Source organism: Homo sapiens, chromosome 4 (genome assembly GCF_000001405.40).
Source record: "Homo sapiens chromosome 4, GRCh38.p14 Primary Assembly".
Classification (NCBI taxonomy): domain Eukaryota; kingdom Metazoa; phylum Chordata; class Mammalia; order Primates; family Hominidae; genus Homo; species Homo sapiens.
In genome coordinates, this window is record NC_000004.12 from 161,824,262 (window position 1) to 161,842,633 (window position 18,372).

Sequence of the window (18,372 nt, forward strand, 5' to 3'; positions counted from 1 at the left end):
ATAGGGTTTCCTTTCCCCATTTTATGCTTTTGTTGGCTTTGTTGAAGGTCAGTTGGCTATAAGTAGTTGGCTTTATTTCTGGGTTCTCTATTCTGTTCCATTGGCCTATGTGCCTATTTTTATAGCAGTACCATATTGTTTGGGTGACTATGGCCTTATAATATAGTTTGAAGTCAGGTAATGTGATGCCTTCAGATTTGTTCTTTTTGCTTAGTCTTGCTTTGGCTATGTGGGTTCTTTTTTGGTTTCATATAAATTTTAGGATTGTTTGGTTATTTTCACAATATTGATTCTAGCCATACATGAGCATGGGATATGTTTCTATTTGTTTGTGTCATCTATGATTTCTTTCAGCAGTATTTTGTAGTTTTCTTTTTAGAGGCTTTTCACCTCCTTGGTTAGGTATATTCCTAATTAGTTTGTGATTTTTTGCAGCTATTGTAAAAGGGGTTGAGTTCTTGATTTGATTCTCAGCTTGGTCACCATTGGTGTATAGCAGAGCTACTGATTTGTGCATATTAATTTTGTATCATAAAACTTCAGTGAATTCATTTATCAGTCCTAGGAGCTTTTTGCATGAGTCTTTAGGGTTTTCTAGGTATACTATTTGGATGCCCTTTATTTCTTTCTCTTGTCTGATTGTTCTAGCTAGGACTTCCAGTACTATGTTGAATAGAACTGGGGAGAGTGGGCATTCTTGTCTGGTTCAAATTCTCAGAGGAATGCTTTCAACTTCTCTCCATTCAGTGTAATGTTGGCTGTGGGGTTGTCATAGATGGCTTTTATTACATTAAAGTATGTCCCTTCTATGCCAATTTTTCTAAGGGTTTTAATCATAAAGGGATGCTGGATTTTGTCAAATGCTTTTTCTGCATCCATTGAGATAAACATGTGATTTTTGCTTTTAATTCTGTTTATGTGGCGTATCACATTTATTGATTGTGTATGTGAAACCATCCCTGCATTCCTGGTATGAAACCCACTTGATCATGGTGGATTATCTTTTTGATATTCTCCTGGATTTGGCCACCTAGCACATTGTTAAGGATTTTTGCATCTATATTCATCAGACATATTGGTCTGTAGTTTTCTTTTTGTGTTATGTCCTTTCCTGGTTTTGGTATTAGGGTGATACTGGTTTCATAGAATGATTTAGGAAGGATTCCTTCTTTTTTTATCTTGTGGGATAGTATCAATAGGATTGGTACCAATTCTTCTTTGAGTGTCTGATAGAATTCAGCTGTGAATCCATCTGTCCTGGACTCTTTTTGGTTGGCATTTTTTATTACCATTTTAATATTGCTGATTGTTATTTGTCTGTTCAGAATTTATATATATTCCTGGTTTAATCTAGGAGGGTTGTATATTTCCAGGAATTTATCTATCTCTTCTAGGTTTTCCAGTTTATTCGCATAAAGATGTTCTTAGTAGCCTTGAATGATATTTTGTATTCTGTGGTATCTGTTTTAATATCACTTGTTTCATTTTTATTTGAGCTTATTTGGATCTTCTCTCTTCCTTACCTAGTTAATCTCACTAATGGTCTGTCAATTTTATTTATCTTTTAAAAGAGCCAGCTTTTTGTTTCATTTATCTTTTGTATTTTTTTATTTCATTTAGTTCTGCTTTGATCTTCATTATTTCTTTTTTTCTGTTGGGTTTGTCTTTGGTTTGTTTTTATTTCTCTAGTTCCTTGAGGTGTGGCTTTAGATTGTCTATTTGTGCTTTTTCAGACTTTTTGATGTATGCATTTAAAGCTGTGAACTTTCCTCTTAGCACTACCTTTGCTATATCCCAGAGGTTTTGATAGGCTGTGTCACTATTATTGTTCAATTCAAAGAAGTTTTTAATTTTCATCTTGATTTCATTATTGACACAACTATAATTCAGGAGCAGGTTATTTAATTTCCATATATTTGGATTGTTTTGAGGGCTCCTTTTGGAGTTGATTTCCAATTTTATTCTCCTGTGGTCTGAGAGAGTAATATAATTTCAATTTTCTTAAATTTTTTGAGGCTTATTTTGTGACCTATCATATGGTCTCTCTTGGAGAAAGTCCCATGTGTTGATGAATAGAATGTATATTCTGCAGTTGTTTGGTAGAATGTTCTATAAATATCTATTAAGTCTATCTATTCTAGGTATAGTTTAAATCCATTGTTTTTTTTGTTGTTGTTGTTGACTTTCTGTCTTGATGACCTGTTTACTGCCGTCAGTGAAGTACTGAAGTCCCCCACTAATATTGTGTTGCCATCTATCTCATTTCTTATGTCTGGTAGTAATTGTTTTATAAATTTGGGAGTTCCAATGTTTAGGTGCATACTTATTTAGGATTGTCATTTTGTTGTTGTTGTTGGACAAGTCCTTTTATCATTATGTAATGCCTTTCTTTGTGTTTTTTATGGCTGTTGCTTTGAAGTTTGTTTTGTCTGACATAAGAATAGCAACTCCTGCTCACTTTTGGTGTCCATCTGCATAGACTATCTTTTTCTACCCCTTAACCTTAAGTTAATGTGAGTCCTTATGTGTCAGGTGAGTCTCAAAGACAGTAGGTACTTGGTTGGTAAATTCTTATCCATTCTGCCATTCTTTATCTTTTAAGTAGATGATTTAGGCCATTTATGTTCAACGTTGAGATGTGAGGTACTATTCTATTCATCATTCTGTTTCCTGAATAACATTTTTTTAAATTTATTTACTGTGTTTTTGTTTTATGGGCCCTGTGAGATTTATGCTTTAAAGATGTTCATTTTGGTGTATTTCAAGGATTTGTTTCAAGAGTTAGAGCTCCTTTTAGCAGTTCTTGTAGTGCTGGGTGGACTATGTCAGAGGGAAGACCTGGGACTCAAGGGCTGCTCTTAAGATTCTTTTGTCCCACAGGGTGCTCCCTTGATGTGGTGTTCTCCCCCTTCCCCTAGGAATGCGGCTTCCTGAGAGCGGAACTGTAGTGATTATTTCTCTTCTGGATTTAGCTAGCCAGCAGAGCTACCAGGCTTGGGAGTGGTTCTAGGGAGTGCCTGCACAGTTCTGTGATGTGAACCGTCTTCAGGTCTCTCAGCCATGGATAACAGCATCTGCTCTGGTGGAGGTGGCAGGGGAGTGAAGTAAACTCTGTGAGGGTCCTTAGCTGTAGTTTTGTTTATTGCACTAGTTTTGTGCTGGTTGGCCTTCTGCCAGGAGATGGCACTTTCAAGAGTGCATCAGATGTGGTAGCATAGGGAGGATCAGGTGGTGAGTGGGGGCTTAGAGCTCCCAAGAGAACACGCCCTTTGTCTTCGACTACCAGGGCTGGTAGAGAAAGACCATCAGGTTCTGGAAGGGTTAGGCGTGTCTGAGCTCAGACTCTCCTTGGGCAGGGCTTGCTGTGGCTGCTGTGGAAGATGGGGGCATGGTTCTCAGGCCAATGGAGTTATGTTCCCAGGGGAATTTTGGCTGCTTCTGCTGTGCTATGCAGGTTACTAGGAAAGTGGGGGAAAGTTGGCAGTTACAGGCCTCACCCAGCTCCCATGCAGCCCAAAAGGCTGGTCTCACTCCCATCATTCTCCCAACAGCACAGAGTTTGTTTCCGGGCATGCTGAGAACTTGCCCCATGCTACCAGCCTCCCCACTGTGAAGCAGGTATGGTTTTCAGATTTCGTACCACCCTGCCTGCCGCAGCTTCTGTGCTGTGTCTACACTCTGGATTCACACCATCCCCTGAGTTCTGTCCAGGAATCTATGAGTTCAGTCGAAATTGTTACAAAGTTCAGCTGGAAGTTTCCTTTATCATGTGGACTTTTCCCGGTTCCTCTGGTAGCCCTCCCCAAGGACCTCTGTGAGATAAAGTCAGAAATGGCTTCCCTGGGGACTGAGAGAGCCCACAGGGGCACTTCCTGTCGGGTCTTCTATCACTATATTTTGCTTGGCTCTCTAAAATTGTCTCAGCTCCTGGTAAGGTCACATACTTTTTCCATGATCTGGACCTTCAGGTTCTGCAGTGAGGGTGTGTGTCTGGGGGTGGACAATCCCTCTTTCACTTTCACTCTTTGAGCATTTACAGTTTTGGGGCTGTCTCCTGGGGCCTGTAGGAGCAATCCACTTCCTTCAAAGAGTCTGTGGATTCTCTCAGCCTTCCTGGTGTGTTTCTGCAGTTCCTGGAGTAAAAGTTCTAGATGTATGTGTTTCCACATGTTGCTCTATCTGTCCCAGTGGGAGCTGCAATTTAGTCCTGCCTTCTATCTGCCATTTTCCTCTCTCAGTAGTCTGATAAGTTCTTTGGGATCATATTAAGATTCATATTTTTTAAAGTGTTATACTTGGGAAGAGCTATTATTTAATTTTAGGAAAATGTCATTGATGTTTTAGAGCAGTATCTGAAAATTTTAGAATCTGTGAATTCTTCTACTAGATTATATTATTTTCCTCTGGGGATTGAGTCATATATCATTAACTTAGGCTAAGATTTAGTGATATTTAATAAATAATAGATGGTCTAAACACTTTAATTGAATAAATGTATGTACTTTGTCTCTAAATTTAACAGTTATATTTATTACATATTATTAGTACAACACATGCTTATTAGTTTTACAGTGCTTTATAAATGCAACCTGCATACAAAGAAAGAACAGAGAGATAGAGGTAAATATTTTGATTTGCTCTGCTATAGACAGGTATAAAACCACTAAAGAAGTTTTTTTCCAAGGCTATGGTAGTAGAGCAAAACATGGAGTTTTGTCTTTGACCAAGTCTCAGGTTAAGAATTAAGTTATTCAAGGAATTAAATTTTAAGACTGGGAGCTTTATATGTGTCAATGGTGGCGAATTTATGAGATACTTGATAAATGTAATTTTTTCAAAAAAAAATTAGACAAAGTTAAAAGGGCTTCAGTCACATTTTATATATATATATATATATATATGTACACAGACACACTGTATATATATTAAATATAGTCTATGTTATATAAATACATTCATCTGAGTGTATATTTAAATATATGATCTGGTATTCCAGAGGAAAAGCTCTTAAAGTTTTAATTTTAAGTAGCAAAAATAGGAAAATATTAAACTATTTCCTTTTATGGGTAAAAGCTAAAAGAAAAAAAATGAAGTAATTTTTTTTCAAGATTGTCAGTGAATAGAAGGAGTTCTGCTTAAACAATAGCAAATAAAAAAATAAACCACTGGAAAACCAGATTTTTAAGCTAAAAATCTACACATATCATATTATAATTAATGTATGTAATTATCTATAATAGTATGCAATTCAAATTTATAATCATTTCACTTCAAAATTGTCTTGTTTTAAGTATTTCTTAGGAATGAAAAATAATTTCCAGGTTTGCTTTGAGCCATCAAATAGCAAACACTTTGTAAATGAGAAGGAAACAATAATCTGTTTGGCTACTATGCCAAGAGGGACCCTAACAGCAGGTGATTACAATAAAAACCACCTTGTTATATAGTTAACATCTGTGCTTTCTAAATGGTAAAGTAAATGAACATAATGGATATAGTTTTGGATTCACATTTTGCCACCTGCCTTTACACAAGCATACACAGAATGTCTTCAAATCACAGAGCCAAAATCTCAGACACATCCTGCCAATTTTCCTTAAATGATTGTATGCATCAATGACAAGGAACAAACACATTTTGCAATTTTGTTTGCAAGGAAAGAGCAACCCTTAAGTTTATAACAAGGAAAGACTAGAATCAGAACCATTTTTTGAGATGTATATACTAGAATGCAAAGATCCAACAGAATCTCAGAATCATCTTACTGTTTTTAAAATAAATGAATAAGAAACAAAAAAATATGGACTTCCTGGCTGATGTAATAACATTCAAAGGGATTTTTGTTAGGTAAATATATTTGATATTGTGCAAATAAAATGTTTGATAGTTACTTAAGGTCTTCACTTATGGTATACAAAACAATTGGTCCATCACTATCAGACACATTTTTTTCTTTGCACTGCTGGAACACCTGGCATGCTTTAAAGAGGGTACATTTCAACAGTCAATGAACAGGCTGCCAACTAATTCCAGAGATTTTGCTTCCTGTTATGATGTAATTTCCAAGTTCTTATGTGGATAGTAAGGATTAACAGTAAACATACGTATAATTGGATTTTTTAATGAGTGTTTATTTTTCTTTTTTTAACATTTAAGTTGATCAAACTTGCATTGCCTTGCTTAAAGATTTTGATTAAAAATGAAATTATGTTTGCAGGCATACTTTTTATTGAACTTTTTATTATGAGTAAGAAAAATCCTAGTTTCTCTGTTCATTTATGTTGTGGCCTAGGAAAGATACTTAGCATCTTGAGACTTCAGATTCTCTGTCTACCATAAGTATATACCATAAGTATATATTGCAAACTGAACATGCTTTTGTCTGTTTAACAGAACATACAATTAAATAAAAAGTGTCCCTTGATGAAATGCTTGTGAAAGTTATTCTATTGCCTCTCAACAAACAGACATCATGAACCCCAGAATATTAAACATGTCAAAGAATTTTGCAGCAAAACAAAAAATATAAAAATAGAGAAGTAAACCAGCATTTCTTCAAATTGTTTGATCATAGTATGCTAAAAAAAATTGGGGTTGGAAGGTGTTAGAATTAGAACGTATTGCCATCTCCCAGACCCCATAGGATTCTGCATTGTTATTTTAATAGTGGTATTAAATGATGTGTGGGTCCCTATTAGTGATATTTAGCTATGATACTTAGAATACTTGAAAATCACAACTCAAATGTTCTCCTAGAAGCTTAAATGAAACTTTCATGTCCTTCCAGTAAAAAGTATTCTTGTATTCAAGATTTTTGGTAAATGAATAAATCATAGCTGCTCTTGCGGTGAGAGTGGGGGAAATTGGTAACTATGTGAAACGATGGCTATGTTCATTCTTCCACTATAGTAACCATTTTATCATGTATATATATTTTATAACATCATGTTGTATACCTTAAATATATGCAATAAATTTTATTTAAAACAATTTTTAACTTTTTAGTCATTCTAAAACTCCAATTAATAGATATAATATAAAATTTTCTTTGGATATTTAAATTTTAATTTGTTTCTCATATGAAACATACCTCTAATTACGTGTCTGATAGGACAAGCAAGCACCATTTGCCTGGCTATTAAATTGACATTTTCATCACCTGAATGCATTTTTGTGGCATTTTTGAGGAGGCAGTAATACAAAACTTAGAAATAAAATTGAAAGTTTTAAATATCCAAGGTTACTTGCTGTTTTGTTACAAAAAAAAGCATATAAAATATAAAAACACATCACGCTCATCAATTTTAATTCCCAGTTTCAAAGTGTTACATTATATGTATTTGAGATTAAATAAATTTCAATTTCTTGCTATTGAAATTAAATAGAATCTTTATTCTAATATATTTTTCCACAAGATTTTAGTTTTAAAAAGTAAGAACTTTTTAGGAATACCTCTCAAAATAATGTCACTCATTAAATAACTTCTGTTGTATTTGTAATATATCATATTTTGGAACAGCATAATAATATATAACAGCATATATATACATATATATGCCATTCTGAAAAATTTAAAGACTTTTAATTTTTAAATTTCATTCTTAGGATTTTAGAGAAAATTTGCTGAAAACTATATTCCACAAGATCAATGAAAATAATGACTTGTGGCTTTTTAACCTTATTAAGTGATTCAGATACTAATAAGAGACATTGACCAGTTAAAACCATGAATTCACTGAACATATTCTTGCTATGTGCTAGGGACAGGTAATACAGAGATAAGGGATGCTTAAAAGAAGGTTATGGAAAATTCTTACCTATAAAGAAACCACTTTCCTACAGCATGGTAAATGTTATGATAGTTTTATGTGTGGTGTATATTTATAAGACTTAAGGACCCTTCAAATGAACAATGACTAACGAAGTTCCCAGGGAAAGGACAGGGGAAGAATTCACAGATGATATGAAATCTGAACCAAACGAATGAGCTGTACAATAGGACAGTGCAGTGATATTTTTTGGGAGGTGAGACGATCCTTCCAGATAGCAAGAACTGCAAGAAATCGTGGAGTTCATTATAAGTAAGAAATGTGTCTCTGCCTGGCTTTGGTATCAGGATGATGCTGGCCTCACAAAATGAGTTAGGGAGGATTCCCTCTTTTTCTATTGATTGGAATAGTTTCAGAAGGAATGGTACCAGTTCCTCCTTGTACTTCTGGTAGAATTCGGCTGTGAATCCATCTGGTCCTGGACTCTTTTTGGTTGGTAAGCTATTGATTATTGCCACAATTTCAGAGCCTGTTATTGGACTATTCAGATAGTCAACTTCTTCCTGGTTTAGTCTTGGGAGGGTGTATGTGTCGAGGAATTTATCCATTTCTTCTAGATTTTCTAGTTTATTTGCGTAAAGGTGTTTATAGCATTCTCTGATGGTAGTTTGTATTTCTGTGGGATCGGTGGTGATATCCCCTTTATCATTTTTTATTGCATCTATTTGATTCTTCTCTCTTTTCTTCTTTATTAGTCTTGCTAGCGGTCTATCAATTTTGTTGATCCTTTCAAAAAACCAGCTCCTGGATTCATTAATTTTTTGAAGGGTTTTTTGTGTCTCTATTTCCTTCAGTTCTGCTCTGATTTTAGTTATTTCTGGCCTTCTGCTAGCTTTCGAATGTGTTTGCTCTTGCTTTTCTAGTTCTTTTAATTGTGATGTTAGGGTGTCAATTTTGGATCTTTCCTGCTTTCTCTTGTGGGCATTTAGTGCTATAAATTTCCCTCTACACGCTGCTTTGAATGTGTCCCAGAGATTCTGGTATGTTGTGTCTTTGTTCTCGTTGGTTTCAAAGAACATCTTTATTTCTGCCTTCATTTCGTTATGTACCCAGTAGTCATTCAGGAGCAGGTTGTTCAGTATCCATGTAGTTGAGCGGTTTTGAGTGAGTTTCTTAATCCTGAGTTCTAGTTTGATTGCACTGTGGTCTGAGAGACAGTTTGTTTTAATTTCTGATCTTTTATATTTGCTGAGGAGAGCTTTACTTCCAACTATGTGGTCAATTTTGGAATAGGTGTGGTGTGGTGCTGAAAAAAATGTATATTCTGTTGATTTGGGGTGGAGAGTTCTGTAGATGTCTATTAGGTCCTCTTGGTGCAGAGCTGAGTTCAATTCCTGGGTATCCTTGTTAACTTTCTGTCTCGTTGATCTGTCTAATGTTGACAGTGGGGTGTTAAAGTCTCCCATTATTATTGTGTGGGAGTCTAAGTCTCTTTGTAGGTCACTCAGGACTTGCTTTATGAATCTGGGTGCTCCTGTATTGGGTGCATATATATTTAGGATAGTTAGCTCTTCTTGTTGAATTAATCCTTTTACCATTATGTAATAGCCTTCTTTGTCTCTTTTGATCTTTGTTGGTTTAAAGTCTGTTTTATCAGAGACTAGGATTGCAACCCCTGCCTTTTTTTGCTTTCCATTTGCTTGGTAGATCTTCCTCCATCCTTTTATTTTGAGCCTATGTGTGTCTCTGCATGGGAGATGGGTTTCCTGAATACAGCACACTGATGGGTCTTGACTCTTTATCCAATTTGCCAGTCTGTGTCTTTTAATTGGAGCATTTAGTCCATTTACATTTAAAGTTAATATTGTGATGTGTGAATTTGATCCTGTCATTATGATGTTAGCTGGTTATTTTGCTCGTTAGTTGATGCAGTTTCTTCCTAGCCTCGATGGTCTTTACAATTTGGCATGAAAGAGAATTTTACACCAATATCCTTGATGAACATTGATGCAAAAATCCTCAATAAAATACTGGCAAAAAGAATCCAACAGCACATCAAAAAGCTTATCCACCATGATCAAGTGGGCTTCATCCCTGGGATGCAAGGCTGGTTCAATATATGCAAATCAATAAATATAATCCAGCATATAAACAGAACCAAAGACAAAAACCACATGATTATCTCAATAGATGCAGAAAAGGCCTTTGACAAAATTCAACAACCTTCATGCTAAAAACTCTCAATAAATTAGGTATTGATGGGACGTATCTCAAAATAACAAGAGTTATCTATGACAAACCCACAGCCAATATCATACTGAATGGGCAAAAACTGGAAGCATTCCCTTTGAAAACTGGCACAAGACAGGGATGCCCTCTCTCACCACTCCTATTCAACATAGTGTTGGAAGTTCTGGCCAGGGCGATTAGGCAGAAGAAGGAAATAAAGGGTATTCAATCAGGAAAAGAGGAAGTCAAATTGTCCTTGTTTGCAGATGACATGATTGTATATCTAGAAAACCCCATTGTCTTAGCCCAAAATCTCCTTAAGCTGATAAGCAACTTCAGCAAAGTCTCAGGATACAAAATCAATGTACAAAAATCACAAGCATTCTTATACACCAATAACAGACAAACAGAGAGCCAAATCATGAGTGAACTCCCATTCACAATTGCTTCAAAGGAATAAAATGCCTAGGAATCCAACTTACAAGGGACGTGAAGGACCTCTTCAAGGAGAACTACAAACCACTGCTCGAGGAAATACAAGAGGATACAAACAAATGGAAGAACATTCCATGCTCATAGGGTAGGAAGAATCAATATCATGAAAATGGCCATACTGCCCAAGGTAATTTATAGATTCAATGCCATCCCCATCAAGCTACCAATGACTTTCTTCACAGAATTGGAAAAAACTACTTTAAAGTTCATATGACACCAAAAAAGAGCCTGCATCGCCAAGTCAATCCTAAGCCAAAAGAACAAAGCTGGAGGCATCATGATACTTGACTTCAAACTATACTATAAGGCTACAGTAACCAAAACAGCATGGTACTGGTACCAAAACAGAGATATAGATCAATGGAACAGAACAGAGCCCTCAGAAATAACGCTGCATATCTACAACTATCTGATCTTTGACAAACCTGAGAAAACCAAGAAATGGGGAAAGGATTCCCTATTTAATAAATGGTGCTGGGAAAACTGGCTAGCCATAAGTAGAAAGCTGAAACTGGATCCCTTCCTTACACCTTATACAAAAATTAATTCAAGATGGATTAAAGACTTAAACATTAGACCTAAAACCATAAAAACCCTAGAAGAAAACCTAGGCATTACAATTCAGGACATAGGCATAGGCAAGGACTTCATGTCCAAAACACCAAAAGTAATGGCAACAAAAGCCAAAATTGACAAATGGGATCTAATTAAACTAAAGAGCTTCTGCACAGCAAAAGAAACTACCATCAGAGTGAACAGGCAACCTACAACATGGGAGAAAATTTTCACAACCTACTCATCTGACAAAGGGCTAATAGCCAGAATCTACAATGAACTCAAACAAATTTACAAGAAAAAAACAAACAACCCCATCAAAAAGTGGGTGAAGGACATGAACAGACACTTCTCAAAAGAAGACATTTATGCAGCCAAAAAACACATGAAAAAATGCTCATCATCACTGGCTATCAGACAAATGCAAATCAAAACCACAATGGGATACCATCCCACACCAGTTAGAATGGCAATCATTAAAAAGTCAGGAAACAACAGGTGCTGGAGAGGATGTGGAGAAATAGGAACACTTTTACACTGTTGGTGGGACTGTAAACTAGTTCAACCATTGTGGAAGTCAGTGTGGCGATTCCTCAGGGATCTAGAACTAGAAATACCATTTGACCCAGCCATCCCATTACTGGGTATATACCCAAAGGACTATAAATCATGCTGCTATAAAGACACATGCACACATATGTTTATTGCAGCACCATTCACCATAGCAAAGACTTGGAAACAACCCAAATGTCCAACAATGATAGACTGGATTAAGAAAATGTGGCACATATACACCATGGAATACTATGCAGCCATAAAAAATGATGAGCTCATGTCCTTTGTAGGGACATGGATGAAATTGGAAATCATCATTCTGAGTAAACTATCGCAAGAACAAAAAAACAACCACTGCATATTCTCACTCATAGGTGGGAATTGAACAATGAGAACAGATGGACACAGGAAGGGGAACATCACACTCTAGGGACTGTTGTGGGGTGGGGGGAGGGGGAAGGGACAGTTTTAGGAGATATACCTAATGCTAAATGACGAGTTAATGGGTGCAGCACACCAGCATGACACATGTATACATATGTAACTAACCTGCACATTGTGCACATGTAACCTAAAACTTAAAGTATAACAATAATAAAAAAAAAAAGAAAAGAAAAGAAAAAAAAAAGTAAGAAATGTTCCTGCACAAGCACACAGTGCAGCATCCCTCAGGGAGAGGCTGCTAAAGGGTCCCAGTGGTGATGAGCTGGTCATGGAGGCTCTTGCATGCTCTTTTAAGGAGTTTGGAGTGTATTAGGGAAGCTATTTTAAGGAAGGCTATTATAAATCCAAATTTGGATATTAGAAAGAACACCCTGGAAACAATGTTGAGGATACGTTGTTGAAGAGCAAAATTAAAGATATTGTGAAATTTTTTATTAAAAATAAATTTTTTAAATATTAAAAATAGAGCAAAAATGGAGATGCAAAAAAGGAGATATATGAAGAGATATTTAAGAGGGCAGAAAATAATTTTTTTCAAAATCTGGACTATTTCCTTATTTTATGATTTGAATAATTGAGTGGATGTTGACTTCATTCTTTGAGATAGGAACAAAAAGAGGAAGAATAGTTTTGTGAAATGGTAATGAGTCGGGCCTGGGTGTGTTGAGTTTGAGACATCTATGTGCCATCCAATTGAAGGCACTAAATATGTAGTTGGACCTATGAGTCTAAAAACTCAGAACAGGTTTTTAATTTAAGAGTTTGTTAAAATGCAGTGATAGGTGAAGCCATAGAGAAAAGTATTTATGTTGAAAATAGGGTTTAAAAAGAGTGGAAAATTCTTTAGAACATCAACAGAAGTGAAGTTGAGGTCATCAAAAGAGACAGTATATTTTAGAAAAGAGCACTAAGTATGAGATTTGAAAGATGCTTTCCTAAAAACAATTAAAGAGAAAGAAGAGTCCATGAAATTGACTAACAAGAAATAGGAGTCCATGAAATTGACTAACAAGTGTTAGGGAAATTTAGAAAAAAACCTATAGACAATTTAAAGATACATGAAAGCATAAAAATCTCAAATACTATAAAAGTTAAATGAAATAAGTTCTGAAAATATGCCTATTATATTTGGTAAATAAATAGGATGCCATTGAAATTAGGGGAAAGTGTCTCAGTGAATTTTTCTGAAGAGAGGGCATTTCACTAGTTTGAGGTGAAAAAATAGCAAGAAATTTAAAATAATGAAATTAAACAAGGCCTTTCAACTAGGTAAAGCACTTTAAAATCATTAATAAAATAAAAGTAATATACTACTTAATCTATGAGGTGTCTTCTATCATAGCCTGTTCATGATTCATAAAAAAGGAAATCCAATTATAGAAGAAACCCTAATATTTGATATACTTAAATAAAAACAAAATGCTTTATAAAGGTTAGCTTTTGCTAAGGCTTGGAATAAGTTCAAAAATAAAATTTATGGCCTATGAAGTGGATGCATCTTCTCTATTATGCATTTAATACCCTTTACTCATCAAAGCAATGCTGACTCACTTGAAATTTTGAATACCTCTATTTATAAAATATATATACTTGACTTTCAGGATCAATAATACAAATGTTAGTAAATCATTAAGGAAATCACGTAATGTTCACCATTTGACTTAACGGGCTTCTATGCTTAAACAGCTGACTTTACTGTATTATTTTATGGTTCTATGTATTTCTTCTATTTTGACAAGTAAAAGTGGATTCAACAAGATATATCCAGAATTTTCACACAGATATGAATAATAATGATAGATAATTACTGAAGCAAAAAATCAAAATAAAACTCAACTAAAGCAAAATGAGACAGCAAACAGAAACACTAAAATAATACTGACTCACTGGTGTTAAAAAATAAGGACAAAGGTAAGAAATTGTATGTTTTGGTGTTGTACCTCTTTACCTTTATGTATTAAAAGTTAATGTTTTCTGTTAATGTTTAACATATTAAAATGTTTTCTGCTGCCCAGACTGGAGCGCAGAGGCGTGATCTCAGATCACTGCAACCTCCGCCTCCCAGGTTCATGCCATTCTCCTGCCTCAGTAACTCTGCCGAGTAACTGGGACTACAGGCACCCACCACCGCGCCCGGCTAATTTTTTTTGTATTTTTAATAGAGACGGGATTTCACCGTGTTAGCCAGGATGGTCTCGATCTCCTGACCTCGTGATCCGCCTACCTCAGCCTCCCAAAGTGCTGGGATTACAGACGTGAGCCACCGTGCCTGGCCTGGAATGTTTTCTTATTCCTAAATTTTATCCATATAAGAAAAGAGGATCAAAGGTTGACATGTATCGACATTATGATCCTTCTTTGAAACTAGTGTTACCTATATCAAATATTAGGTGCCAAAATATAAATATATATAGGGAGAGAGAGAGAAACAGTCTGACCAAATTAAACATTTTAAGAATGCTATATGTAACAAACTTATATCTAAGAGCACATGGAATACTCATCAAAAGAAACCATGTTGAGCTGTAAAACAAATCTCAATCAATTTAAAAGCCAGAAATCATAGCAAGTATTTACTCTGAACGCAATGGAATTATTAAACATAAAATATATAGAAAGACTTAAATAATTATAAATTAAACACTTTTTAATATAAAACATAGGTCAAAAAATAAAAGCAAAATGAGAAATCTTCAAACCAAATTATAATGGAGATAAAACAAAATTTGTAGGATGCAGCTAAAGCAGTGATTATAGGAGGAAACTGGATATTTAAATATTTACATGAGAATAAATGAGAGATTTAATGTAAATGATATAATTTTATTTTCCGATGCTAGAAGTAAAAATGAAAAAAGAATGGACATAATAAGGATAAAAGCAAACATCAAAAAAATAGACAAAATGCAGTATAATTTAAAAGTCAAAAGTTATTTGAAAATATTAATGCAATGATCTATTCTGTTACGGGATGAATGAAAGAGAGAAAGAGACCACAACTTAATAATATTTAGTAATTAAATGAAAGAATACACTCTACAGACTGTATAGACACAACAGATAAGGTATTATTATAAACCACTTTTTTTGCCAAAGATCTAATTTCTAATTCTTTAAAATGGGAAACAACCCAAATGTGTGAATGAATAAACAAATTGTGGTATAATCATAGAATACACTAATGCTCAACAATAAAAGGGAGTAAAACCTACGGAAGCACTCAAAACATATGTGAATCTCACAAACATATGTGAATCTCACAAACTATATATTAAATAAAATAATTCTGACAAAAACCATGTATATACTGTTGGTTCAATTTATGTGAAATTCCAATACAGAAAAACATAATCTATTTTAAGTGGTCAACATTTAAAAAGTGGTGGTATTTTTGGCTGAGAAAGGAGGCTTCACTTAAAAAGGGAATGAAAGACTTTACTGGAGTGATAGTCATACTCTATATCTTGATTGGAGTGGTGATTACATAGTGTATGCATTTGCTAAAATTCAAAGGACTAAACACTTAAATCTAGTGTATGTTTCATTGTTATTTAAGTTCATATAGATTAAAAGAAATTTTTAAAGGAAAATGTAAGTGTGAATGAGTTTGCTTCAGGAGAGCATGTAGAAAGAAAAGCATTGAGCAAAGGCTGGAATATTGAGTGACAGATAGACGGTTAAAAATGTTTTAGAGTTCAAAATATACTTACAGGAAAAGTATGATGTTACAAAAGCCAGGAGATTATAGATTTTTAATACTGTTGATAATGTTGGTAGTAATGATTGTTCACCAGTGTTACCTGTTATTTGTAGAAGCCCTGTTAGGGAATGAGTGAAGAGCGTCACCGTGTTTGGCAGATATGGCTGATCTAAAGGAAAGTGATTCCATGTACTCTCGGGAGCACAAGTCAAATAACACAGCATTGAGGTGTGACTGGGAAGTAAAGAGTGAAAAGGGTGAAGATAAAAGTGGAATTTATGTTTTCAAATGACTTCATTAAAATGAGAAGAAGAGAGAAATTTTACAAAGAAACTCAGACTTGAGAAAAATTTAGAAGAAATTGGATTCAATGCTTTATCTACATATCTAAAACAACCGTTATACTCTGTTTAGAGGGTTATATTATAATGCTTATTTCTCAATGTATAATATAATTTTATTTGCATAAAAATTAAAAAGCATAAATAGCAAGATTTTCATTCTCAAGACTAATCCTCAGGTAGTAGTCCCAAACCCTGTTGATATCTACAGACGTGAACAGTAATAAAAGTGAGAACTGTTTGGGCAACCCTCAAATTTAATTTAGGTGCTCTATCTCTTCCGGGATATTTCTCCTCAACTAATCTCACTCCCGCCTAATCTGTGATATCTGATAAACCAAATGTTGTAAATTTCTTTCAATGTATTCCTAAAATTACTGTACAGGATGAACTGGGCAATTGATGTGTTTATCCCCCAAGTTGGGGCCTTTTCCAGATCTTTTATTAACTCGTATGAATGAAATGACTCTGAGAAGCTGCCTTTTCGTCTGACTTCTGGTAGAGTTCAGTATGCAAGGAAATAAGCAAGAAATCAAAGGAGGAGGGAGAGTGAGATGGGATAGATAATAGATAGAGATACAGACAGAATATGAATTAGATAGAGATAGCGCTATTTCTCCCCCAACACCTGGAAGCATTACTGAATGTTGGCTGCATCCCTTGAACTAACATCACATTTTCTGTCAAAGGTGCTCTTCTCATGTCTCTGTTTCTCAGTGTTCTTATAACAGCTGCTTTCTTTAGCTTTTTCAGGCCTAAAATTGAGAATGGGACCTTACTGTTAGTAGGCTCTGTTCACACTTCTATAAACAGTTCCTTATTTAAACTTTCATGAAATTGCTCAAAGTGCATACACCATTTATTTTTCCTGCCAGAATCTGATTGATTCACCTCTTTCATTGATTAAAAATATTCTAAATGAAATAGAAAAGGAAAACCATATGTTATTGTTGCAATTTCTTAGCCATGTCTCATAAAAAGTATTGTACAAAATATATTGAAAATACATATTTGTAGATCCACAGGAAATATAGTAGAATGTATGCACCTTCATCTGATGATATTAAAATAACTCTTCAGTCCCATTAGGTATGTGCAAAATGTGCTTTAAGGCTCCTTATATAATATTTGGAATCAAAATCCCATAGATGGACATGTGGGATGCTATTCATTTATTTGACAAATATTTATTGAGTAGCTTTCTAGGAGATAAAAATATATTGTTAAACAGAACAGACAAAGCCACTGCTCTCACAGAGCTTATATTTAGGCAAAGGAAGACAGGCAACAAATAGATAAAAATAAATATATAAAAATCGTTGGTAGTATTAAGTGTCTAATTAAGTAGTATTAATTGCTGATCCTAATTCTTTAAAGAAGCTATTTTAGGAGTAGAAAGGTGGCCCATGTAGTAGTTGCATGGTGAATCAGAGCATAATTAATATTTTATTGTTTATTCCACTAGTTGGCTCTTTAATAACTGTTTTTGATGTTGATGAGGCTTTGGCATCCTCTCTATGGGCCTTAAGATCGGCTCCCAGCTGGGCTGCCGGTCTGTTCAGATTTGAGTGTGTGTTGGCATTGAAGGATGTGAGGCTGTCTTTACAGTGAGCTTCAGGGAAAACACTAGGGGAGCTTCTGCAGGGTGTTGGCTGAAGGACTCCAACAGAGCGAGGACACCTTGTGACATCAATATAAATAGCTGCAAATTGACAGCTGGTATCGCATAATCAAAAACAGGTGGCTAAATTTGAACTGAAATGTGATGGTGATTATTGTATTTTGAAGGTACAGTCTGTGAACCTTTCCGTGTGTAATTAAGAAGGCCGTTTGCAATATAAATGCTATAGGCTCATTCCAGCCCATATCTATGATTGTACCAAGTTGGCCCCCATGCTTGCTTATATAATTTCAAACATCTGTTCTTCTATGCAGTTCATTTTTACAGTTATAGCAAACTAACTATGAGACTAAGAGTGATTTATAAAAATGAACACCAGTATAATCATTCTTTCAGATTATTTTTCAAGTTACAAATCATCCAGTAACAAAGCATAAACACTTTCACCTAAAATAAAATTGGTATCTCTTTATATGTGATAAATATGCTACTGAATATATTACACTACTTAATAATTACCATACATTTTATTTCAAGTCTATCATCTGTTTTAAGTATAACTCTAAACTTGCCCCTAATTAATGTCACTAAATTGAATGATTATATGTTACTGTAATAATTTCCTATGTCCCAAAAATCTTTAAAAAATAGTCTATTTATCTT

General features: G+C 34.7%; 1 protein-coding gene across 4 annotated transcripts in view, besides 2 other annotated features; it reads right to left on the minus strand.

Annotated features, from left to right (window-relative positions):
• FSTL5 (follistatin like 5) overlaps positions 1-18,372 on the minus strand; it is a 780,104-nt gene that overhangs the window by 440,365 nt on the left and 321,367 nt on the right. The window lies entirely within an intron of this gene.
• Positions 2,898-3,399: an enhancer, noted in NCBI's record as "H3K27ac hESC enhancer chr4:162748311-162748812 (GRCh37/hg19 assembly coordinates)". NCBI's record gives its function as "activates a minimal SCP1, AML or CMV promoter by ChIP-STARR-seq in primed H9 embryonic stem cells {active_cell/tissue: H9 hESC(primed)}" and the evidence as "EXISTENCE:reporter gene assay evidence [ECO:0000049][PMID:30033119]".
• Positions 3,400-3,899: an enhancer, noted in NCBI's record as "H3K27ac hESC enhancer chr4:162748813-162749312 (GRCh37/hg19 assembly coordinates)". NCBI's record gives its function as "activates a minimal SCP1, AML or CMV promoter by ChIP-STARR-seq in primed H9 embryonic stem cells {active_cell/tissue: H9 hESC(primed)}" and the evidence as "EXISTENCE:reporter gene assay evidence [ECO:0000049][PMID:30033119]".